Below are 26974 nucleotides of genomic sequence, written 5' to 3' on the forward strand. Positions count from 1 at the left end.
AATAAAGATAAAATTATGAAGAAGATAGCTGACTGGTTTAAATATCAAAGGGCTGCCCTAGGGTTCACTGGTCTGGTTCATGCTGTTTGATGTATTAAAGACATTCATAAGGGCAAACAAGGTATTAGCAAATATGTCAGATGTTTTATGTTTTTAATGTGGGATGAAATAAACTCATACACAAGGAGAGAGGGAGAGAAACCTACATTATGACTGAAAGAAAATATCCTGTGCATAGAGCTAAATATGCAGAGCATGGTGGAACCACAAAAAGGGAGATAAGGCAGGGTACCTAATTATTCAGAAACGAGAATGGAATAGCACCAGATATGCAAGGGAAGGCCAAATTAATGGATCAGTGTAACTTTAAACTTGTTGCTTAATTTTGAATCTCTTGGCCGGGCTGGGTGGCTCACGCCTGTAATCCCAGCACTTTAGGAAGCCAAGGCGGGTGGATCACAAGGTCAAGACCATCCTGGCCAACATGGTGAGACCTCAAATCCACTAAAAATACAAAAATTAGCTGGGTGTGGTGGCGCGCGCCTGTAGTCCCAGCTACTCGGAAGGCTGAGGCAGGAGAATCGCTTGATCTCGGGAGGCGGATGTTGCAGTGGGCGGAGATCGCACCACTGCACTCCCGTCTGGCGACGGAGCGAGACTCCGTCTCAGACAAACAAACAAACAAACAAACAAACAAACAAACAAACAAACGGCCTTTTAATCTCTTGAGGGCAAATGGCTTTCTTTTTATTAGATGCAACCAGGGAAGTCTAGTGTTTGGATGCCGTTAAAAATACAGTTATTCAGCGGGGTGTGGTGGCTTACTCTTATAACCCGAGCACTTTAGGAGGCCGAGGTGGGCGGATCACTTGAGGCCAGCAGTTTGAGATCAGTGTGGCCAACATGATGAAACCTGTCTCTATCAAAAATACAAAAATTAGCTGGGTGTGGCGGCACATCCTGTAATCTCAACTACTCGGGAGGCTGAGGCATGAGAATCACTTGAACCCAGGAGTCGGAGGTTGCAGTGAGCTAAGATTGCACTCCAGTCTGGGCAACAGAGTGAGACTGTCTCAACAAACAAACAGCAGTTATTCTAGATATACCGCAGAATAGTTTAGCCACTTTAATGTTTATTATAGGAATTTTATATTAGTTCTTGCTAACCAGCGAAATTCTTTCAGTTATGTTAGTCTACTGACTAGAATGCATTTTGGTTTGCTACAAATTGAAATGGGTGTTTTTTTTTTCATGTTCTTTTTAAACATTCCCCTCATTCTGTATAAAACATACTTGTGGACATTGTCTACTTAAGCCTTTATACTATTTATACTGTAGAAGTTATATCTAATATATCTCAAATCATTTGGGGATTTTGTTTTTTCAAGAAAAGTTTGAAACATACTCAAACAACAGTTCTTAGAAAGCTGCTTAGGATGGTACTGAATTTACTTGTGCTAAGTGGCGAGAATGGATTATTGAAAGTGAAGCAGGCTGGGCGTGGTGACTCACGCCTGTAATCGCAGCACTTTGGGAGGCCGAGGCGGGCGGATCACGAGGTAAGGAGATCGAGACCACGGTGAAACCCCGTCTCTACTAAAAATACAAAAAACAAAAAAATTAGCCAGGCGCGGTGGCGGGCCCTTGTAGTCCCAGCTACTCGGGAGGCTGAGGCAGGAGAATGGCATGAACCCGAGAGGCAGAGCTTGCAGTGAGCCGAGATCGCGCCAGTGCACTCCAGCCTGGGCGACAGGAGACTCCGTATCAAAAAAAAAAAAAAAAAAAGAAAGAAAGAAAGTGAAGCAGCAACTATTGGAGGATAGCAAGAATGGAGTGTCCTTTTTAAGTGATGTAAATCTGTGCTTAGTATCCTTTTACGCTATTTTTATATGCTTGTGTGATATTTGATTCATTAAAAAGAATTTATGAGCCGGACGCTGTGACTTAACGCCTGTAATCCTAGCACTTTGGGAGGCCAAGGCGGGCAGATCACAAGGTCAGGAGTTCAAGACCAGCCTGGCCAATATGGTGAAACCCTGTCTCTACTAAAAATACAAAAATTAGCTGGGCATGGTGGTGCGTGCCTGTAGTCCCAGCTACTCGGGAGGCTAAGGCAGAAGAATCGCTTGAACCCAGAAGGCTGAGGTTGCAGTGAGCCAAGATCACGCCAACTGCACTCCAGCCTGGGTGACGGAGCGAGACTCCATCTCAAAAAAAGAATCTATGAAACATAAAATGTAGTTTAGGAAGTGTAATATTAAAGTAGCACCTATAAACCTACCATCCAACTTAAGAACTAGAACTATACTAGTACTGTTGAATCTACCAGTGCTCTCTTCCCCCATTCATTCTCCTGCCTTCCCTTCAGAGATAACTGCTGCTGAGCATTTTGTATTTCACATTTATTTAAAAAATAATTTTAGGCCAGCCTTGGTGGCTCATACCTGTAATCCCAGCACTTTGGGAGGCCAAGGTGGGAAAACTGCTTGAGCTCAGGAGTTTGGGACCAGCTTGGGCAATATAGTGAGATCACATCTCCACAAAAAATTTTAAAAATTAGCTAGGCATGTGGTGTGCACCTGTAGTTCCAGCTACTTGGGAGGTTAAGGTGGGAGATTGTTGGAGCCTGGATCAAGGTTGCTGTGAGCCATGATGGCATCACTGCACTCCAGTATGAGTGACAGAGTGAGACCCTGTCTCAAAAAAAACTTACCATCTCTGTATTACTATATATAGATATATATTACAACAGATAGATCTTTAAAAATATATTGTTTAGTTTTGCTTGGTTTTGAGCTTTATAAAAATGGTATATTTTGAATTCTGCTATTTCCTTTTTTCCACTCTGTTATTTATTTATTTATTTATTTTTATTTTTTTTTTAGATGGAGTCTCGCTCTGTCACCCAGGCTAGAGTGCAGTGGTGCAATCTCGGATCACCACAATCTCCACCTCCTGGGTTCAAGCGATTCTCCTGCCTCAGCCTCCCGAGTAGCTGGGATTACAGGTGCATGCCACCACACCCAGATAATTTTTGTATTTTTAGTAGAGACGAGGTTCTACCATATTGGCCAGGGTGGTCTCGATCTCCTGACCTTGTGATGTGCCCGCCTCGGCCTCCCAAAGTGCTGGGATTACAGGCGTGAATCACTGTGCCTGGCCCCACTCTGTTATTTTTAAGACATTTATTTATGGTACTGCATATAGCTTCAGTTAATTTACTTTTACTGTGGTATAATATTCCATTGTATGACTATTTCATAATTAATTTATCCATTTTCCTGATAATAGACATTGCAGTGGTACAGTGAACATTCATGTACCTGTCTTCTTGTCTATGCCTGTGATGTCTCCTTGTACATGTGTGTGTTAGTGTGTTGGATGTGTAGGTGTGTGTAAGCATCTCAAAGTTTCTCTAAGGTAGATACTTAGGAGTAGAATTGCTGAGTCATAGAGTACATGTTCAGCCTTACAAGATATGATAGCATTTAATTTAATAATCAGAACAACCTGTAACTATCAACAGTTTAATAAACTGTGGCTTAGAGATGTTATGTATCCAAGAAGCCACATAGATAGCAAGTGGCTGAACAAGTTCAAACCCATGTTTGTTTAACTTTAGGACCAGACTCTAGCAGTAAGTCGTTTTGTCTTTCTATAGTAAGTGTCCACAATCAGGCTTTATATATAGTATAATTGGGATTTATTTTAGTGTGAATGTTTAAGGCATACATCTATTTTGAAGAGTAAAATGTATGTATATGTTAATAAAAAACTGTCTTGGTCCCAGTCTCCTAAATTTATGCTCTGCCAACCTTAACATATGGCTACTGTTCTGAAGGGAGCAGGAGAAAGGCAGAAGGCCAAAGGGCCTCCCCTCTCCCTTCTTGCTTAGAACACAGATGGCTGGCTGGGTAACAGAAGAGCCATCTTGTGACCTTCAGCCTCTTGAGTAGCTTGTTCTTATTAACAAAAATCCCCATATAATTAAGAGCAGATTGTTTCCAACTAAAAGGCCACATTTCCTACCTCTCTTTACAGATAGAGGCAGCCTCCCAAGAGGGAAGAGACATCTTGAACAGGCACCTAGCAGTTTCTGTACTTTTTTTTTTTGAGACGGAGTTTTGCTCTTGTTGCCCAGGCTGGAGTGCAGTGGTGCAGTCTTGGGTCACTGCAACCTCTGCCTCCCAGGTGCAAGCAATTTTTCTGCCTCAGCCTCCCAAGTAGCTGGGATTACAGGCCTGTGCCACTACGCCTGGCTAATTTTGTATTTTTAGTAGAGATGGGGTTTTGTCATGTTGGCCAAGGCTGGTCTTGAATTCTTGACTCAGGTGATCCGCCTGCCTCAGCCTCCCAAAGTGCTGGGATTACAGGCATGAGCCACCGTGCCCAGCCCTCTGTGCTATTATATCAAGGCCAGGTGAAGATATATAACCCTCTTCAATTTACCAAGGATGGTATTATGGCTTTTGGTTTTTAATTATTGAGAAAATATATCTATAAAAGCTGACTTCTGCTGGGTTCAGTGGCATGGGCCTGTAGTCACAGTTAAGAGGCTGAGCAACATAAGACCCCATTAAAAAAAAAACAACCCCAACTCTTACACATTTACCCTGTGTCTTACACACACACACACACACACACACACACACACACAAATGTGATGTGTGTTGGAGGAATTGGAGCAGGAGACTGAAGGGACTACAGTAATGGAGTAGAAGCAAATCAGAAAAGACTTGAAGTGAGAGGATATCTACTAAGGGAATTTGGCCTAGGCAGACAGAAGTTGTCCAGGAAAAAGGTACTATGCACATTGTTTGAAATCGAGATCAGGCTGGGCGTGGTGGCTCATGCCTGTAATCCCCCCACTTTGGGAGGTAGAGGCAGGAGGATTACTTGAGCTCACAAGTTTGAGACCAGCCTGGGCAACATGGCAAAACCCTGTCTCTACAAAAAATACAAAAACTAGCCAGGTATGGTAGTACACACCTGTGGTCCTAGCTACTTGGGAGGCTGAGATGGGAGGATCACTTGAGCCTGGGAGGTTGAGGCTGCAGTGAGCTGTGATTGTGCCATTGTACTGCAGCCTGATTGTGCCATCGTACTGCAGCCTGGGAATGACGGAGCAAGACCCTGTCTCAAAATAAATAAATAAATAAAAATCAGGAGATCACTATACTTAAGAAAACTAAGAATTGGCTTGAAAATTAGTGTTACTGTTTGATCTTGATTTCAATCTATGGAGAGTCAGGGGTGACCTTGCCTCCTCACTTGTTAGGGGAACTGAGAAAAATATGTCTAATTCATATTGGGGATATAAGCAAGGGTAGGGTTAGAGGAAAAACAGAATTATATAGCCTGTATTAAACTGGGTCAAATTGAATTGTGTAATGAGACTTTATGCTTATAATTTACTACCTGATATAGTAAAATAAAATTTTATCCCTTCCTGGAGTGAGGAGATACTTTTTTTTTTTTTTCTGTCAGTTATCAAAGTGGTTCGTGCGGCCGGGCACGGTGGCTCACGCCTGTAATCCCAGCACTGTGGGAGGCCAAGGCAGGCGGATCACTAGGTCAGGAGTTCAAGACCAGCCTGACCAACATGGTGAAACCCTGTCTCTACTAAAAATACAAAAATTAGCCATGCATGGTGGCGCCTGCCTTTAATCCCAGCTACTCAGGAGGCTGAGGTGGGAGAATCACTTGAACCCGGGAGGCGGAGGTTACAGTGAGCCAATATGGCACCACTGCACTCCAGCCTGGGCGACAGAGCAAAACTCCATTGCAAAAAAATTAATAATAATTAAAAAAAAGTGGTTTATGCTCATTTTAGTCAATCTGGAAAATACAGAAAAGGGGAAAGGGAAACATTCCTCCATAGGAAGATAACCACTCTTGGTATGTTTCTTCAATAATGTATTTTTTAAACATACTGTAACCACAATGATGGTGTTAGGTTATCAATTATGTGTATAATATATATTATGGAAGATAAGTATTTCCAGACAAGGGCTATTATCTAGGAGTTTTTCTCCATTTTTGCCCATTGCTTCTTTTTGTAAATTTCTTGCGTAAATTTAGATGAAGCTAGAGATTTAACTTGTCTTTTCCTGGAAACAACGTGAGAGATTAAGCGCTCACCACCACGCCCAGCTAATTTTTGTATTTTAGTAGAGATGGGGTTTCACCATGTTGGCCAAGCTGGTCTCGAACTCCTGACCTCAAGTGATGCGCCTGCCTCGGCCTCCCAAAGTGCCGGGATTACAGGCATGAGCCACTGCGCCCGGCCCAAATATCTATTTAGTGTTCAAATTTCTAGTTGTCTCAAATGGAATTTTTTTTTTTTGGTAATTTCATTTGAATTAGAATTGAAACAAGGTCTACATATTGCAAGTGATTGATATGTCTCTTAAGTTTCTTTCAGTCCATAGGTATACTCTTATCTCTCTCTCTCTTTTTCTTATAATGTGTTTGTTGAAGAAACTGGATCATTTATCCTGTAGAATTTCTACTCAGTCTGGATTTTGTTGATTTCAGTTCCATGGTAGAGTTTAATAGGTTTCTTGGTTTTTTTTTTGTATTTCCTGTAAATTATTTGAATTTACACATAATTGAATCTTAAAATTGAGAAGGAAAACCATGCGGGCCTTTTGCTGTCTCAAGGGTTGCAGTTAATCAGCTGACTTGAGAAATCCCTGCTGCCCAGGGACCAGATGAAACATAGACAAGATGGCATGTTAACTTTGGATTTCTTGCCTAATCTGGACACATTTGTGTTTAAAAAGGAAGCCTGGATTATGCCACTGCACTCCAGTCTGGCTGACAGGGCAAGACCCGGTCTCTGAATGAATGTATGAATGCATACATGCATGCATGCCTGATCCAAGAACCTGATGAATTGAACCGTTTTCCAATGAAGGTGACATTAGACTAATTTAATGATAAGACAAAACTAAACTTTTTTTAGTGAGAAAAACATGCTTTCAATTTATTTGTATTAGTTAGATCTCATTTTCATCTTACGTAGTTAATAAAGAATGGATGGACACCAGGGTCCGAAGCCAAGGTTCTCAAAGTTAAGCATTTATCAAAATCACTTGGAAGGCTTGCAGACAGATTGCTGGACATCATCCCCAGAGATTCTGATTCCATATGTCAAGGTCGAGTCTGAGATTTGCATTTCTAGCAAGTTCCCAGGTGATATCAGTGCTCCTGGTTAGGGGACCACACTTTGAGAACTATTAGGCTGAAGTTCAAGGATCTGCATTAGAATTACCTTTGGAGCTTTAAAAAACTCTTGAAGATGCCAGTCAGAGGCCTCTGCATCTATATTTTAACATGTTCCATAACAATTCTAATGCGCACCCCAGGTGAGAACTGCTGCTGTAATTATTTATAGTTTATTCCTCCATATTTCCCAAGAAATGCTCATTCATTATTCATTTCAAAATGTTAAAAGACTTCTAATATTGTTTAGGCACATGGTTAGGAAGGATTCATTGTTTTATACTGTGCTATTTATCATTGTTGTAGAGGGCAAAGTAAAAGAAAAGTGCTAAATAACAAAGAGCTATTGGCACCTGTCCTGGAAAATCAGTATTAATGCTCTTGCTTGCTGCAAAGATAACTGCTATTTTAAGATTATTAATTTTTCCCAAAGGAAAATTGAAAATAGTTTGGTTTGAGGTTGCTGTTCCTTAAATCAGGGAACCCCTTTGTTTAGCATTAGATCCTGAACTTTCCATTAGCCAATGTATGTGTGAGCCAATAATGAATGATGACATTTCAGTCGTTTTTGGAGACATGCCAATTAGTGTATAAGAAATTTTTAGTTCTTAAGTAACTTTTTTTTAAGGAAAGGCTCAAACTTCACACAATATACTAATACTTCTACTTTACACTTCACAAGTCTCCCAATTTTAGGGTTTAAAAATCTTTCACTGACTTGAAAAACATGCCGATGGTTGATTTCATGCCACCATGTTTAAGGCATGTTTGGTTTAGTTCAAAAGCACATTCCCTATATGTCACTGGGAACAAAAAGATGACTTAGGCATAGTTCCAATTCAAGCCCAGTCTGATGAAGTGATTTCCAACCTTAATTAGTAACCATTAATTATGTAGACCCCGTTCGTGTGATACGAGTTATAATTTTAATAATTCTTGATTAGCAGAACACATGATAAAGCTATTATAAATCAGTACATCTTTTATTAATAAATGTGCTTTGATTTTATTAATCACAACAGCATCTACATATATTTGAAAAATAGTAGCTGGAGCCATTATTCAGTCTACAAGCAGTATTGGTGCATGTGACTTTTGAACCCCTGTGATAAACTTGAAAGCCTCCAAGAGTCCATGGCCTCTACTTTCAGGGAAGTAGGTTGACTATTATTGTTACTAGCGTTACCACTTGCTAATAATGCAAGTACACAGGCCAGTTACAATGGGTATTTGTACAAGAACTAAGGAATTTTCCTTCGTATTGCCCTAGTGGGGAAGGGACAAGTCTTATCTTCCTATTTGAATTATACTTGTAAATGAAATGTTTAACAAGTAAGTTCTTGGTTTTTCCTTGACAATCTGATGATCTGTTTTTCTTTATTCTTTTTTTTTTTGAGACGGAATCTTACTTTGTCGCCAGGCTGGAGGGCAGTGGCGTGATCTCCACTCGCTGCAACCTCTGTCTCCCGGGTCCAAGTGATTCTTCTGCCTCAGCCTCCCGAGTAGCTGGGACTACAGGTGCACGCCAACATGCCCAGCTAATTTTTGTATATTTTTTAGTAGAGACGGAGTTTCACCATGTTGGTCAGGATGGTCTTGATCTCTTGACCTCATGATCCGCTCACCTTGGCCTCCCAAAGTGCTGGGATTACAGACGTGAGCCCACCACGCCCAGCCCTGATGATCTATTTTTCTACTTGACTGTCCTCCGTTTACTGAGTGGGTATAGGTGGGAACTTGACAAGGTTAATGACAGGTTGTGGAGAAGATTGAGTGAGAGATGATGCTGGGTGGGAGTCAGAGGAGACTGGACAGTGAAGGGAATGGAGAATAGGATCCACAGCCTGCATATATACTGTATATGTTGTCTGTTTTAACTACCGTAAGAAGTACTAATTAATCTGTTTGAAAACAATGACTTTTCAGAAAAATCATAGTTAACTGTTATATAATAAACACTATAACTTTTGTGATAATTTGAGAAGAAATTCCCTTGACAAATGCAGTTTACTAACAAAGGTTTGCTTTAGGACCATATGCATAATTCTACTTAATCTCAAATGAGTTGTTTCCTTTTTTGCAATTAGATGTGTGTGCAGTAAGAGAAAGGGATGAATCAATCTGCAGTCAGTGCTGTGAGTCAGTTGCAGCTGCCATGTAAAGTACTCTCATTTAGCTATTAAAAGCCTTTGAAGTCTTGCATGTGTAAAATATTCCTAATTCGCTAGGAACACACATGGCTGTGTGTGTATACATGTCATTGTGCGGTAGGCTGTTCTTTATTAGAAAAGTATATATCTCTGTTGGGTACTAATTACAACTGTGGCTAGGAAACTGCAGCAAGGCAAATAACAAAGGCAACAAAGGCAAGAGAGAGAGAGAACTGGGCTTTGCTGTTTTACACCTCCAGCATAAATAAGACATGCTGTGAGTAAACACAGCTGTATGGAAAATTAGTTTTGAAGAATTGAAAGTAAATAACTGCTGGCTTATTCAGCACATCTATACTGTAGGTCTCCAAGAACAAGAACATTTTCTTGAAACTAGAGAACAGTTGTAGGTTGAGTTATTTGTCTCTTGGAAAGTTGTTTGACAAATTAATCTTTGTTGGGCTGTACTCAGTATTATATTATAGCCTTTATGCAACACAAAACCACAAGTAAACCTTAGGAATTTCATTATTAGATAATTATGTGTAACACTTTAATATTTATATTACTACAGAATAATTCAGAGTAAGAATCATCTAAAATATTATTTATTAAGCACCTACTATACAGTTCTTCTGATTAGGTACTGTGGGAGATACAGATATTTCAAATACAGATAAACCTTACCTTCAAAGAGCTTGCAGTCTAGCAATATACATGAAATAATAGAGGACACAGTAGAGTTTAATGTAATGCTGGATGATATAAAGAAGCTGTCTAAATTTCAAGAAGAAATCACTGAGTGCTAGAGTTTAGGAAAGGCTTCCTACATGAGCTGCAACTTGAGCTTAGCCTTGAAATAGTGAAAATAATTCTATAGGCAAGACATGAAGAAAACATTAAAAAAGACTAGATTGCATGTAATGTGAAGAGTGAATAGGATTGTGGTTGAATCTGGAGTAAGTCAGCCCTGTTTTGAAGCTTTTGCATTAAAGCTTAAGTTGGCATAGGCCATGTATCTTGTAGGTATGGCTAACATCTGTCAGATCTGGTTTTGGCAGAATAGTACCACACTACCTAGTAAAATCCTTTTTCATGAGGAATACTCTGCAGGGGAAGTAAGAGAACATTAGAAGTAGTTTTTAGGCATCTTCATGGGGATGCCCATTGATTTTTGCCAATAATGATTGCTTCTAGATAATTCATTTTTCCTCCACTATATGTAGAGACTGTCAAAATAATAAAAAAGGAAAGGAAAAAGAATGTTCAATCTGCCTGACAGAAACATTGCTAAAACTTTTTTTTTGAAACGGAGTCTCACTCTGTCACCCAGGCTGAAGTGCAGTGACGTAGTCTTGGCTCATTGCAACCTCCGCCTCCTGGGTTGAAGCAATTCACCTGTCTCAGTCTCCCTAGTAGCTGGGACTACAGTTGCATGCCACCACACCCAGCCAATTTTTATATTTTTAGTAGAGACGAGGTTTCACTATATTGGTCAGGCCTGTCCCAAACTCCTGACCTCAGGCGATCCACCCGCCTTGGCCTCCCAAAGTGCCAGGATTACAGATGTGAGCCACCATGCCCCTCCAGCTAAAATATTTTTATACTGGGCCATTGTTTTTAAGAATTGGTCTTTAAAAATGGCCTATTTTGCTGTGGGGAAAAAATCAATTTCAGTGAAGTTTACAGTTTTATGAACCTGTGCTTCTCCTCCAATTCCTTATACCGTCTTCATACTCCTCTAGTTTGATTCTCTTTACTTTCTACTTAGTTGAAATTACTGTTATAATTCCAGCAAATACCTTTCCATACTGTTTGAATTTTCTAACCATGGCCATGTGTTACTTTTTAATTTAATTTAATTTATTATTATTTTTTTTTAGAAATGGAGTCTTGCTATGTTAACCAGGCAGGTCTCGAACTCCTGGCCTCAAGCAATCCTCCTGCCTTGGCCTTCCAAAGTGTTGGGATTATAGGTGTTGAGCCACTGCACCCTACTTTTATTTATTTAAAAGAAGCTTCAACAGATATTACCTGGTTAGTAGGATTACAGGATTATTTTAATGTTCTCTATATTTAAAAAATTAATGAGCCAGGCATGGTGGCTTGGTCCCTTGAGCTTAGGAGTTGGAGACCAGCCTGGGCAATATGGTAAAACCCTGTTTGTATCAAAAATACAAAGATTAGCCGGGTATGGTGGCATGCACCTGTAACCCAGCTACTGGGGAGACTGAAGTGGGAGGATTGCTTGAGCCTGGGAGATTGAAGTGGCAGTGAGCTGAGATTGCACCACTGCACTCCAGCCTGGGTGACAAAGTGATATCCTGTCTTAAAAAAAAAATTGTGTGTTACCTTTGAGTCAAACTTGTGGCATTTAGATAGTGGAATACCGTGTAACTGCTGAAAATAATGGGGCTGGGCACAGTAGCTCACGTCTGTAATCCCAGCACTTTGGGAGGCCGAGGCGGGTGGATCACTTGAGGTCAGGAGTTTGAAACCAAGCCTGGGCAACATGGTGAAACCCTGTCTCTACCCAAAATACAAAAATTTAGCTGAGCACAGGCATGTGGCATGCACTTGTGGTTTCAGCTACTCGGGAGGCTGAGGTGGGAGGATTGCTTGAGCCTGGGAGGTGAAGGCTGCAGTGAGCCATAATTGTGCCACTGCACTCCAGCCTGGGTGACAGAGGGATACCCTGTCTCCAAAAAAAAAAAAAAAAAAAAAGAAAGAAAAAAGAGAATAATGAATTGGATATTTAAGCAAAGCTGTCCAATATTTAAGTAAATAAAGATGTCTAGGTATAGGGATTAATTCTGACTGTAAGGATTACAGAAATAAAATTCATGGAAAACATGGCGTGTGGGCAGGGCTTTGAAGGAGGGTTAGAATTTCAGCAGGTGGAGATGCAGGCTTGGGGTATTATAAAGAAGGCAGATGCAGGGAAGTGCAGGCTGTTTTAGGAAGCAGCAAGTAGTTCTAGGTGGGGCTGGTGGGAGAAGAGACTAGTGAGGGCAGATCACAGCCAAGCTGGGGTGCTATGGGAAAGGAGTTTGGATTTTATACCGTAGCTACTACGGAGCCTTTAAAAGTTTGATCTTTTTTTTTTTTTTTTTTTTTTTGAGACGGAGTCTCGCTCTGTTGCCAGGCTGGAGTGCAATGGTGCAATATTGGCTCACTACAACCTCTGCCTCCTGCGTTCAAGCGATTCTCCTGCCTCAGCCTCCAAAGTAGCTGGGATTACGGGCCTGTGCCACTACGCCTGGCTAATTTTTCTATTTTTAGTAGAGATGGGTTTTCGCCATGTTGGCTAGGCTGGTCTCAAACTTCTGACCTCAAGTAGTCCACCCGCCTCGGCCTCCTAAAATACTGGGATTACAGGCATGAGTCACCGCACCCAGCCAAAAGTTTGATCTTTCAATAAATATTTGTTAACTGATGAATAAAAGAGTGATAGGATTAAATCTTTGTTTGGAAGAGAAAACATTTATAGCAGGAGGGACTGGAAATAGGTTATTTATAGTCGAGTGAATTAGAGCAGAAACAGTAAAAATAGAAACATATAGTTAAATGCAGAGGTAGAGGTAGACTTGACAGGATTTGGCAAGTGATTGGGTTTAACTAATTTTTAACAAAAAGGGGAATAGAAGAATTTAAGGTTTTGAATTTGGGAAAATGGGAGCTATGTTCTTCCTTGCTCTCTTTTTTCTTTAGTTTTCTTTTCTTTTTTTTTTGTATTTTTAGTGGAGACATGGTTTTCACCACGTTTGCCAAGCTGGTTTTTGAACTCTTGGCCTCAAGTGATCTGCCTGCCTTGACCTCCCTCCCAAAGTGCTGGGATTACAGGCGTGAGCCCCTTCTTGAGGCCCTTTCTTTTTTTTTCTTTTCTTTTTTTTTTTTTTTTGAGACAGGATCTCACTCTGTTTCCCAGGCTGGAGTGCCGTGACTCAATCACTGCCCACTGTAGCCTCGACCTCCTGGCTCAAGTAGTTAGTCTTCCTGCCTCAGCCTCCCAGAAGCGGAGACTACAGGTGCATGCCACTACACCTGGCTAATTTTTTAAATTTTTATTTTTGGTAGAGGTGGGGCGTCTCATCATGTTACCCAGGCTGGTCTTGAACTCCTGGGCTCAAGTGATCCACCCACCTTGGCCTCCCAAAGTGTTGGGATTACAGGTGTGAGTCACTATATCCAGTCCTTCCTTGCTTTCTTGAATAAAGCATTTGGAATTGAGTCATCCTTTTATTAGGGAGACTGCATTATTATGAATAAGAACCTTGAGCTATATAGGATTTATTACCCCTACAATAAATGGTCAAGTTTGCTATAACTGGCCAGGCATAGTGGCTCATGCCTGTAATCCCAGCACTTTGGGAGGCTGAGGTGGGAGGATCACTTGAGCGCAGGAGTTTGAGACCAGTCGGGCAATGTAGTGAGACCTCGTCTCTACAAAAAAAAAAAAAAAAAAACTTAAAAAAAAAATCAGCTTAGTGTGGTGATTTGCTCCTGTAGAGGCTGTGGTAGGAGGATCATTTGAGCCTGAGAGGTTGACGCTGAAGTGAGCTGAGATTGTGCCACCGCACTCCAGCCTGGGCGACAGAGATCCTGTCGCAAAAAAATTTAAAAAAAGAAGGCCAGGCCAGGCGCAATGGCTCACGCCTGTAATCCTAACACTTTGGGAGGCCGAGGCGGGTGGATCACCTGAGGTGAGGAGTTCAAGACCAGCCTGGCCAACATGGTGAAACTCCATCTCTACTAAAAATACAAAAAATTAGCCAGGCATGGTGGCAGACACCTGTACTCCCAGCTACTCGGGAGCCTGAGGCAGGAAAATCACTTGAACTCTGGAGGCGGAGGTTGCAGTGAGCCGAGATAGTGCCACTGCACTCCAGCCTGGGCAACAAGAGCAAAACCCTGTCTCAAAAAAAAAAAAAAAAAAAAAGATGGCTATCACTTTGGATTTTGATGTGTCTCTTTCTTTCTTTTAGGCTGTTTCTTTACTCATTGTATGTATCTAGAAGAATCATAACCCCTTCTACTTTAAATTCATCTGTTACATTTGACAAACAAACTTGTTAGAATTAGGCAAAAAACAAAGGTAAAGGGACTCTGAATGAGGGCCAAAAGGGGCTTTCCTATATAATAAATATGTGTTTTATAGTGCTTTTTAATTCCTATGGCATTTGCAGTTTTAAGAAAAATCACCTTACATGAATAAGGTGTTAAGTGCTCTCCGAGAGTGTCCTGGTTTATTACGTTGTACTTTAATAAGAATTAATAAGTGGTTGAGTGATAGAGTTGTTGAATAAAGGATAAAGTAGCACACTAAAGCTTAAGATCATTGATGTAATGAAAGTAAACCAGGCTGGGAATCTGAACACCCGGTTTATAGTCCCAGTCCTGCCACTGTAGGACATTGAATAGGTGATGTTACTCATCTGAAATTGTATCTATTTTGATAACATGGGGATAATATCTCTTCTCTCTACTTGAACAATGAGGTAACACTGATGACCAAGTCATGTCCTTCCATGTGTGTGGGAATATGTAATACATTTCTCAGGAATACATATATTAACACTATGATTCTCATACCTTCACAAAAATAAAAATGAAAAATTCAACTTTATGCCAATGCAAATTACTATCATCACTCAAGTTTGATTCTTCCTTTCCAGATCCAGGAGTGGAATAAATCTTTACAGTACAGTTTAAATCTTTAGAGGAAACTCCCATCAATTTTCTCTTCTTTTGTGAGGAGAGCAAACTGGTTCCTCCTCTATATAGAAACCCATCATGGGTTTATAGCTTTTTTGGCAATAGTAATTTTAGTGTATTTGCCGTTAAATTTTAAGTTGGTTTTTGCTCTTATTCCTAAATTGATTTCTCTAGTTGATATTGGATTTTTTTTTTAATGGAGATACTAGGGTGGTGCAAAAGTAATTGCTTTTACTTTTTTTTTTTGAGATGGAGTCTCGCCCTTGTTGCCCAGGCTGGAGTGCAGTGGCGCTATCTTGGCTCACTACAACCTCCGCCTCCCAGGTTCAAGCGATTCTCCTGCCTCAGGCCCCTGAGTAGCTGGGATTACAGGGGCCCGCCATCATGCCCGGCTAATTTTTGTACTTTTAGTAGAGACGGGGTTTCACCACGTTGGCCAGGCTGATCTTGAACTCTTGACCTCAGGTGATCCGCCTGCCTCAGCCTCCCAAAATGCTGGGATTATTACAGACGTGAGCCACCGCTCCCGGCCATAATTGCTATTACTTTTAATGGCAAAAACCGCAGTTACTTTTGCATCAACCTATATAATTCATATACCATAAATTCTACACTGTACACTAAAATGTGTAACTTGGGGTTTTTAGTATATTCAAAAGTTGTGCCACTATCACTACTATCTTATTCCAGCACATTTTTGTCACCCCAGCAAGAAACTCTGTACCCATTAGCAGTCATTCCCCATTCTGGTTTTCCCCAGCCCCTGCAACTCTAATCTACTTTCTGTCTCTGGATTTGACTAGGTTAGAACTTTCTGTCTCTGGATTTGACTAGGTTAGAACTTTCTGTCTCTGGATTTGACTAGGTTAGAACTTTCTGTCTTTGGATTTGACTGGGTTAGAACTCAGGTCTGTCAGAATCCAAACCCCATTGCCCCTCAGTTTAGGTCCCCATAACTTTTTGTTTATGTAGCTGCTGGAGCATTTATGGCTCGCAGTATGTGTTGAACTGTCAGTAGTTGGGTGTGGGGTTCTCTCTCACCACAGATTTTTATGGTTTTTTTAATAAGGTAAAATTAAATGAGTGTTTGTAATAATAATAAAAATAAAGATATTCTCTATTCCTTTGTGTAACATTTTAGACATTTATATTTTTTCTTTTAATGGATGACCATGGGATTTTTAGATATCTTTGCATTCTTAGTGCCTTGTGCTTGGTGAGTGACAGTAGTCTTAATTGAACTAAATTGTAATTACATTCATTACTCTTAACGAAACCAGCTCCCATTAGGATGAACAGTTTTTCTAAAATAAAACAAGTTTGTTTTTTTATATATACATATAAAAAGCAATAACAAAAACAAACAAATGAAAATAATCCACCATCAATGCTTCTATTTATTTTGAGTGCCAATTTTGTTAGCATGAATGGGAAACAACTGACTTTTGAGAAATGCCATTGGATCTGGAAAGCCTGATGAGGGCTACAAGCTACATTCAGTAAAATCAGAATCGTGTGTGTGTGTGTGTGTGTGTGTGTGTGTGTGTGTGTCTGTGTGTGATTTTAGCCTTGTATGACCAACTAAATAAAATGTAAATCTGAAAGAATCATTTCAAGTTTCTGGTAACAATGGAGAAATAACATGGAATTGAGAGTTAAGAAGCTTAGGTTTGGGTTTTGGCTCTGCCTCTGATGAGCAGTAACTCAGCCTAATTTTATCTCATAGTCCCTCTGGAGGAGAATGGGTCAGGAGATTCTTAACCTATTGTTGCAAAATTTTATTTTGGAACATTTCTGAGGAAAGGGTCTGTGGCTTTCATTAGATTCTCAGATCGTTCATGGCAACAAAAAGAACCACTTGATCAGATGATTTATCAGTCTCATTGAGGTTTAAGATTTTGTGATGCTTCATTATAACCCTGGTTTGACCAGCTTATATACCCAGGGTTACACCGTGAGTTTACACTCAACATTGTCTTTGAAGACTCAGAATGACTTTTAGCACATTTAAACTATTTTGGATATCCCATAGACGCGTCAACTTTTCTAAAAACAGAACAGTCATCCTTCAGTTAGTGCTTTTTTCTGACTCTGAAGCTGGTGCTATAATCCACTCTGTCATACTGTCTTTCTTCAGTACTTCTTGAATCCTTCTCCTTTTCTTCCATCTCAACAAACCTTGATTCAGGCTCTCATGATCTTTCATCAAACTTGTTAGGAGAGCTTCCTATTAGTCTATTTCTATTTCCTGTATCCGTTCTCTCTCACACACACATTAACACATATTTTACTATGGTACTTCCATATTTAACATCGTCTAATGGCAGGCTTGGTGGGGTGGCTTATGCCTGTAATCCCAGCACTTTGGGAGGTTGAGGCGGGCGATCACTTTAGGTCAGGAATTTGAGACCACTGTGGCCTGTCCAACATGGTGAAATCCCGTCTCTACTAAAAATACAAAAATTAGCTGGATGTGGTGGTGCGCCTGTAGTCCCAGCTACTCAGGAGGCTGAGGCAGGAGAATTGCTTGAGCCTGGGAGGCGGAGGTTGCAGTGAGCTGAGATCATGCCACTGCACTCCAGCCTGTCAATAGAGTGAGACTCTGTCTAAAAAAAAAAAATTAGCTGGGTGTGGTGGTGCACGCTTGTAGTTCCAGCTACTTGGGAGGCTGAGGCAGGAGAATCACTTGAACCCAGGAGGCGGAGGTTGCAGTGAGCCAAGATCGTGCCACTGCACTCCAGCCTGGGCAACAGAGTGAGAGTGAGACTCTGTCTCAAATAAATAAATAAATAAATAAAATAAATAAATAAATAAAATTTTCTAATGGCTTCCTGTTTTACAGAGAATAAGGTATAAATTCTTGACCATTGCAAAAGCAGGCTTTCCCTAATCTACCCTTGCCTGGTCTCAACCCAGTCTCAACCTCCATTGTTTTCTGTCATCCTATATTTTATACTCCAGCTATAGTGAACTTTGTGCTGCTTGCCATTCGGGTGCACATGCTTTTTCTAGATGCTTATCCAGTTGATCATGCCCTCTCCTCCTTTCGTCACCTAACTTAGTCCTACTTATCCTTTAAAGCTTAGCTCAGATTGTATATCAAAGGCCTTTTCTCTGACTCTGCTCTGCTTATTCTCTGCATATATTACTATATAATTGCTTGCTTTTGCCTGATTTTTAAAATAGACTGTGTACTCTTTGAGGGTAGAAGCCACATCTTATTTTTTTGCAACCTTGGCTCTTATCTTGGTGCCTAAAATATTATATGTTCAGTGAACATTTATGATGAATTCAGTAATTATTTAATTATTGCATGGGGTTTTTTGAATTAGTGAATAGGTTTTTAAATATTGCTTGTAGTTTTGGTAAAACTTTAATTATCATCTTCCTCAAAGGAGAAAAAAGAAAAATATTTAGTTGTTTAATTATGGGGAAAAAACCTTTTTTTGATCTTGTAATTCTCATAGGCCTCCAATGAGAATTTTATTTTATTGCTTTAATGTTTTCATAGAACCTAGTAACCCAGGAAAGCATTTTATAATTTTTTTTTTAGAACTTTTTTGAAACTGATTTCCTGTTGGGGTTTAGTATAGGGTATTATTACTTAAGAGAATAAGGTGTAAGTCTGGAGACTGTATCAAAGAGAAAGAAGATGAATGAATCAGGTATAGACACAGAATGAGGTAACAGGGTTTTTGAGTCTCTTGTTTGGCTCATGATCTTTTCAACACCATTGAAACACACACAACCTCATTTTTTTTTCAGAGCACATATAAATGAAGAATGACCTGGAGGTTAGGTGGGAATGGGTAGGACTGCCTCTCTCTGGACTCAGATTCCTGGGAGCTGACCCAGAACTGAATGCCCTTAGGGATTTCAAACTCATTACCATTTGTAGTGATGCACTTCACTCTGATCTCCTTTCAGTGTTACCTTTGTTAGAGACTACACTAGAAAGGAAAATACTTGGAATAAACTTTAGCGTTTTCAAAGTTTTGTACTGCCACATGGGATGACTATTAATTCCTTTTGGCTGGCACACAATAATTTAGCAAATTATTATTTTGTAAGCCGGGCGTGGTGGCTCATGCCTGTAACCCCAGCACTGTGGGAGGCTGAGACGGGTGGATCACCTGAGGTCAGGAGTTAGAAACCAGCCTGGCCAACATGACGAAACCTCATCTCTACTAAAAATACAAAAATTAGCCAGGCATGGTGGCGGGAGCCTGTAATTCCAGCTACTTGGGAGGCTGAGGCAGGAGAATCACTTGAACTTGGGAGCCGGAGGTTGCTGAGATGAGCTGAGATCGCGCCTTTGCATTCCAGCCTGGGCAACAAGAGTGAAACTCCGTCTCAAAAAAAAAAAAAGAAAAAATTATTTTGTAATTAAGTTACAGTTAGCATATCTACATCTGAAGTATCTTAGTACCTTGGATATGTAAGTAAGCATTTTGTATTCCTTCTTGGGTATATCTAGATTCTGTTGATTTCTTTACCCTTCACCAGATGACTCGTTCACATCTTTTATTATGAGGAAAGTAGTTTCTGGCCTTTGGACTTATCAAAATCAGTCTTTCTTTTGTTCATTTATTTGTTCAACTCATATTTTTTGGTGCAACATTCTGGGCAACAGGGATGAAACAATGAACAAAACAAGCACAATCCTTTGCTCCAATGGAGTTTACATTCTAGTGGGGGTAGACAAACAATAAACCAAATCAAGTAAAAACCATATAGTATGTCATTAAAGAGTAGTTAAGTGCTACAGAGAAAAATAAAGCAGGAGAATGAAGTGCAGCTGGGCCTCCAATTTTAGGTAGGGTGACCAAGGAAAGCCTCACTGGAGGTGGTATTTGAGTAAAAACCCAAAGGAAGCAGGCCTCGTGGCATCTGGGAGGTAGGTAGTCTTCCAGGCAGAAGAAACCACAAATCCTAAGGTCCTGGCAAATAGCATGCTTACCATGTTTAATAAACAACGAGGAGACCCAGGTGGCTGGAACAGGACAGGCAATTGCAAGGACTTTGCCCTTTATTCTGAATGGCAGGAAATGTCTTTGGAGGGTTTCTGGTCAGTGGATGATCTAACTGTACTTTTAGTAGGATCATGCTACCTCCTTTACTGATAACTAACTTCAGTTTTCAGTTCAGAAGCAGGTTATAAAGATAGATTCATATGAGAACCTTTTTTTTTTTTTTTTTTTTTTTGAGACGGAGTCTCACTCTGTCGCCCAGGCTGGAGTGCAGTGGCATGATCTCTACTCACTGCAAGCTCTGCCTCCAGGGTTCAAGCGATTCTCCTGCCTCAGCCTCCTGAGTAGCTGGGACTACAGGTGCCCGCCACCACACCCGGCTAAGTTTTTGTATTTTTAGTAGAGACGGGGTTTCACCATGTTAACCAGGATGGTCTCGATTTCCTGACCTCGTGATCCACCCGCCTTGGCCTCCCAAAGTGCTGGGATTACAGGCGTGAGCCACCACGCTCGGCCCTTTTATGATTTCAGTTCTTCAGGAAAATGTGTTTGGTTCCAGGTACCTCATTTAAAAGAAAGTTACTGATACTTTGGAATCTGTTTGGGAGAGGATGTCTAGAATGATGAGGAACTGGTAAACTATTTAATGTGAGGAACAGTTTAAGGATCTGGGGATATTTAACCTTTGGTAATTTTGCTTCTGACCCATGTTAACACTATTCTGTTTTTCTCTCAAGCTGTAGTATGAATTCGACCTTCCTTTCTTTCTCCCCCTTCATTTTCAGCAGTTTTCTATTTTTTAATTTTTAATTTTCATTTCTTGAGACAAGGTTTTACTCTGTTTCCGAGGCTGGAGTGCAGTGGCATGATCACAGCTGACTGCAACCTCCACCTCCTGGGCTTAAATGATCCTCCCACCTCAGCCTTCTAAGTAGATGGGATTACAGGTGTGAGCCACTGAACCCAGCCTTTTTTTTCTTTTAAGCTCCATTCTTTAATGGGCCTTGTCTTTTTTTTTTTTTTTTTTGAGTCTTCCTCTGTCGCCCAGGCTGGAGTGCAGTGGTGTGATCTCAGCTCACTGCAACCTCTGCCTCCCCGGTTCAAGTGATTTTCATTCCTCAACCTCCTGAATAGCTGGGATTACAGGCATGCACCGCCACGCCTGGCAAATTTTTGTATTTTTAGTAGAGACAGGTTTTTACCATGTTGGCCAGACTATTGGCCATTATTTTTGTAGATATTCCTTTGCAAGGCTGTTTTTAAAACTTCGTTTTTGGCCAGGCACGGTGGCTCACGCCTGTAATCCCAGCACTTTGGGAGGCTGAGGTGGACAGATCACGAGGTCAAGAGATCGACACCATCCTGGCCAACATGGTGAAACCCTGTCTCTACTAAAAATGCAAAAATTACCTGGGTGTGGTGGCACTCCTTTAGTCCCAGCTACTCGGGAGGCTGAGGCAGGAGAATCTCTTGAACCCGGGAGGTGGAGGTTGCAGTGAGCCGAGATCACACCACTGCACTCCAGCCTAGCGATAGAGCAAGACTCCATCTCAAAACAAACAAACAAACAAACAAACAAAACTCTGTTTTTGTACATATGTCCTTATAATATCCCCACTCTTCATGACTGTCTTTAATCATTTCCTCATGTTTTTCTAAAAATTTATGATTGTATAGAGAAAATTCCACTGCCATATTTCCTCATGTTTTTCTAAAAATTTATGATTGTATAGAGAATATTCCACTGCCATATTCCCAGGGCTTAGAAAAGAACCTGACACTTAATATAAAACTGTGAAATGTATTAGGTTGATGCAAAAGTAATTGCAGTTTTTGCCGTTACTTTCAATGGCAAAAACTGCAATTATAAAACTAAATGAGGCCGGGCGCAGTGGCTCACACCTATAATCCCAGCGCTTTGGGAGGCCGAGACGGGTGGATCACCTGACGCCAGAAGTTCGAGACCAGCCTGGCCAACATGGTGAGACCCCCGTCTCTACTAAAAATACAAAATTTAGCTGTGCATGGTGGTGCGCACCTGTAATGCCAGCTACTTAGGAGGCTGAGACGTGACAATCACTTGAACCTGGGAGGCAGAAGTTACAGTGAGCTGAGATCGCACCACTGGACTCCAGCCTGGGGGATAAAGTGATACTCTGCCTCCAAAACCCCCCACCCCCCAAAAAAAAAACACAAACTAAATGAACTTCGCTTTCTAGAATTGCCTTATCCTAACAAGTTCTATATTCTTATAGAATCTTTGGACATGCAATCATGCCGTACTTTTTTTTTTTTTTTTTTAAGACAGAGTCTTGCCCTGTCACCCAAGCTGCGGTGCAGTGGCACAGTCTCAGCTCACTGCAACCTCCACCTCCTCGGTTCAAGTGATTCTTGTGCCTCAGTCTCTCCAGTAGCTGGGATTACAGGCACCCACCACCATGCCTGGTTAATTTTTGTATTTTTAATAGAGACAGGGTCTCACCATGTTGACCAGGCTAGTCTCGAACTCCTGACCTCAAGTGATCCACCTGCCTTGGCCTCCCAAAGCGTTGGGATTACAGGCATGAGCCACCACGCCCAGCCCATGTCTTACTTTTCTTTAAATGTTTTTAGAATTTATTTGTAGTAAGCTTACGTGTTTGACTGTGACCTCTTTTCTCAGCATAAAAACTGTGTGAAATTAGCCGGGCGCAGTGGCTCACGCCTGTAATCCCAGCACTTTAGGAGGCCGAGGCGGGTGGATCACGAGGTCAGGAGATCGTGACCATCCTGGCTAACACGGTGAAACCCCGTCTGTACTAAAAATACAAAAAATTGGCCGGTCGCAGTGGCTCAAGCCTGTAATCCCAGCACTTTGGTAGGCTGAGGCGGGCGGATCACGAGGTCACAAGATTGAGACCATCCTGGCTAACACGGTGAAACTCCGTCTCTACTAAAAAAATACAAAAAATTAGCCGGGCGTGGCGGTGGGCACCTGTAGTCCCAGCTACTCGGGAGGCTGAGGCAGGAGAATGGCGTGAACCTGGGAGGCAGAGCTTGCAGTGAGCCAAGATCGTGCCGCTGTACTCCAGCCTGGGCGACAGAGCGAGACTCTGTCTCAAAAAACAAACAAACAAACAAAAAACAAAACTGTGTGAAATTATTATTCTCTGCTAAAGTTTCTGATATGTTCACATCACCAAAAAATTATTGTTTACTGCTCAGAATTCAGTCCCATAGTAGAGGCTTTTCTGGGAGAGAAAACTGTCATCAAGCTTAGTCAATAATTTTATTGAATACTTTCAGCAAATAGCGGATTATTTGAAATATTCAAACTGGTACTAAATCTTGTCTCTGTGCCAGTATTATATTTTCTGGTGGCCTGTAGTATATTTTTCATACTTAACAATGGTAAGAGACAACTGCTGCATCTATTCCAATTTCCAGAGTATCTGCTAAAACAATCCATGATCCAGTTCATGTTTGTGATTCCCACTTGTATTCTTACTAGATGATATTTGATAGTTAATTTACTGTAGTTTTCTGGTTAAAGTGAAATTTACTAAAATAGTCTTATGGTATTTGAGTTTCAAAATTTTAAAGTAAATATTGTTAGATTGAGTTGGCTCTAAGAAACTAAAAATAAGAGAGTAAGGAAAGTTCCATACTCTTAACTAAAACCCCTTTGTAGCTAGAAATCTTCAGGCTTTGTTTATATTTACCTTGAAATTTTTAAGGCTAGTAAGCATTTTATGTGTGGTTCTCCTTCCTTTCAGTTACATTTTCAGGCTAAATTATTCCATTGTTTTATGTTTTCCGGGAGAGTTTATATGGATACAACACCTTATATAAATAATGGCATTAAAGACTTTTAATCTCAACTTGGAAAGAAAGAGAATAGTCATGGTGTGATTGATCTGAAGGTCACTTACCTTATAGCCTCAACTAGACACAATATAATGGAAACTTTAGGCTTATGTGGTACTTGAAGAGCTAGAAGTGATTTCATAAAATCCATGCATTGAAGTTGTCCAGTAATGTGAAGCATTAGTCTTACTCTTCCTTAGCATTTACTCTCTTTTTTTGGAGATGGAGTCTTGCTCTGTCGCCCAGGCTGAGTGCAAAGGTGCGATCTCGGCTCACTGCAGCCTCCACCTCCCAGGTTCAGACGATTCTCCTGTCTCAGCCTCCTGAGTAGCTGGGATTACAGGCGCGTGCCACTACGCCCAGCTAATTTTTGTATTTTCAGTAGAGAGAGGGTTTCACCATGTTGGCCAGGTTGGTCTTGAACTCTTGACCTCATGTGATCTGCCTGCCTTGGCCTCCCAAAGTGCTGGAATTACAGGCATGAGCCACCACACCCGGCCGCATTTAATCTTTTTTTTTTCTTTCTTTCTTTCTTTTTTTTTTTTTTTTTTTTTTTGGGACAGTGTCCCTCTGTCGCCCAGGCTGGAGTGCAGTGGCGCGATCTTGGCTCACTGCAACCTCTGCCTCCCAGGTTCAAGTGATTCTTCTGCCTCAGCCTCCCAAGTAGCTGGGATTACAAGCGCCTGCCACCATGCCTGGCTAATTTTTGTATTTTTAGTAGAGACTGGGTTTCACCATGTTGACCAGGCTCATCTTGAACTCCTGACCTCAAGTGATCCACCTGGCTTCGGCTTCTCAAAGTGCTGGGATTACAGGCATGAGCCACCGCGCCCGGTTGCATTTACTCTTTAAACAAAATTTTAACACACTTGGCTATCTGGTTTCTGAATCAATGTAGATTAGCCAATAACAGATTAGAAGAAGAGACATTGGAAGATGCTTGTTGGCAGGCCACTTTGACATCAGCAAGAAATGTGAGTTAACTCTTCAAATGAGCAAATAGGAAACCTAATAAAGGCAGATACAAAAAATAAAAAAGCACAGTATTCAGATATCTTTCTGAAAGAGCTAATCATCACTATAGACTTCAGTAGCCTATGAGGACATTAGCACTGCGTAGTAATTCAGGTTCATAATGATGACTAAATCAATAACGACTCAATTATGGTCTATAGATTTAAAAAATGAAACAAGGAAGCATATAATCCATTTCATAAAGATTTCCATCTAGAATGGCTAAAATAATACACTTTGACACTTTTTTTTCTTTTGAGACAGGGTCTCATTCTGTCACCCAGTCTGGAGTGCAGCGATCACAGCTCACTACAGTCTCGACCTCCGCGCTCAGCTGATCCTCCCACCTCAGGCTCACCACCCCATACCCACCCCTACCCTGCCCCCGTAGCTGGGACTACAGGTGCACGCTACCATGCCCAGCTAATTTTTTGTATCCTTTGTAGAGATAAGGTTTCACCATGTTGTCTAGACCAGACTGATCTTGAACTCCTAGGCTCAAGTGATCTGCCTGCTTAGGCTTCCCAAAGTGTGCTAGGATTACAGGCTTGAGCCACCAAACCCAGCCCACTTTGACACTTAAAAGAAATAAAACTCAATTCGGTGGAGATGAATTTTTTTTGTTTCACATTGTCCTCATTGATGCTCAGTAATCATTGATCCAGTAGTGTATTTTCTGGGAGGGCCTGGGCCCAGGTGGTACACTTTTAGACTATATCCAGACATCTTTTAAGTATATGCCTGAATTCTCTAGAGAAGTAAAGAATGTGTTTTCATCTTCTTAGAAGAAGATGAGTAAGAGTTTGTTTATTTAAAAATATCTTTGAATGAGTTGATTCAGCGGTATTAGTCACCATAGAAATGACTTAAATTAAAAACCAAGTTTTTGAAAACAGCATGATCATGCTCAGTGACATTCCTGATTCACTCAGTATGGCAAGCAGTTTTTTTTTTTTTAGACAGAGTCTTGCTCTGTTGCCCAGGCTGGAGTGCAGTAGTGTGATCATGATTCACCGCAGCCTCCAACTCCTGGGCTCAGGCAGTTCTCCCACCTCACGTTCCTGTGGAGCTGGGACTACAGGCTCATGAAACTATGCTTGGCTAATTTTTTTTTTTTCCTTTAGTAGAGACATGGTCTCACTATGCTGCCCAGGCTGGTTTCAAACTCCTGGGCTCAAGCAATCCTCCCACCTTGGACTCCCAAAGGGCTGAGATTACAGGTGTGAGCCACTGCAAGGCTTCATAAAGAGTAATTTAACATTCAAATAATTTCAAGAGGATAGAGGAAGAATTCTGAAGAAACTCTTTTGTAAATTTTAAATTACCATTTTCATCCAAAGACCACATTGGTGATTATCCTATTCTAGAGGTGCTAATTAGTGTACTTAAATTGAGTTAGAAAGGAAAGATACTTTCCTGTGGTTTTGGGGGATTGATTTTTATCAGGAAAGAAGCTGTTTTCTAGCATAGTTTTGAAACCTTCATACTTGAACATATTTTCTTTCTGTCTGAAAGAATGTCACTAGTTTCTGTCCTCTGACTAGGGAAGTAAAAGGGCCTATTATCCTTTACTTTTGCTTTTACCCCCTTATTCTCCTAATCCAAATGGTGACTCTTGAGTTTATAATATAGCCCTTCTCTGGTGTCCTTGGGGATATTGGGGGTGGGGGAGAAATAATATAGCCTTTAAAAAATAATCCATTGTATAACTATTCTAATGTCCCTTTTGTTTATTTTTATTTTTCAGAGACAGGGTCTTGCTCTGTCAACCAGGCTGGAGTGCAGTGGTGCAGTCATAGCTCACTGGAGCCTCAAATTCCTGGGCTCAAGCAATTCTTCTGCCTCAGCCTCCCAGATAGCTATGACTACAGGCATGCACCACCATGCCCGGCTACTTTTTTTATTTTTATTTTTTTAGAAACAGGATCTTGCTGTGTTGCCCAGGCTGGTTTGGAACTCCTAGTCTCAAGAGATACTCCTGTTTTGGTCTCCCAGAGTGTTGGAATTATAGCTGTGAGCCACTGTGCCCAACCCCATTTGTTTTCTTTCTTC

General features: G+C 40.9%; 1 protein-coding gene across 70 annotated transcripts in view, besides 2 other annotated features; it reads left to right on the forward strand.

The window, feature by feature from the left end:
• EPB41 (erythrocyte membrane protein band 4.1) overlaps positions 1 to 26974 on the forward strand; it is a 232942-nt gene that overhangs the window by 59640 nt on the left and 146328 nt on the right. The window lies entirely within an intron of this gene.
• Positions 18754 to 19284: an enhancer, noted in NCBI's record as "NANOG-H3K27ac hESC enhancer chr1:29292005-29292535 (GRCh37/hg19 assembly coordinates)". NCBI's record gives its function as "activates a minimal SCP1, AML or CMV promoter by ChIP-STARR-seq in naive H9 embryonic stem cells {active_cell/tissue: H9 hESC(naive)}" and the evidence as "EXISTENCE:reporter gene assay evidence [ECO:0000049][PMID:30033119]".
• Positions 19285 to 19814: an enhancer, noted in NCBI's record as "H3K27ac hESC enhancer chr1:29292536-29293065 (GRCh37/hg19 assembly coordinates)". NCBI's record gives its function as "activates a minimal SCP1, AML or CMV promoter by ChIP-STARR-seq in primed H9 embryonic stem cells {active_cell/tissue: H9 hESC(primed)}" and the evidence as "EXISTENCE:reporter gene assay evidence [ECO:0000049][PMID:30033119]".

This window comes from Homo sapiens, chromosome 1 (assembly GCF_000001405.40).
Source record: "Homo sapiens chromosome 1, GRCh38.p14 Primary Assembly".
Taxonomy (NCBI): domain Eukaryota; kingdom Metazoa; phylum Chordata; class Mammalia; order Primates; family Hominidae; genus Homo; species Homo sapiens.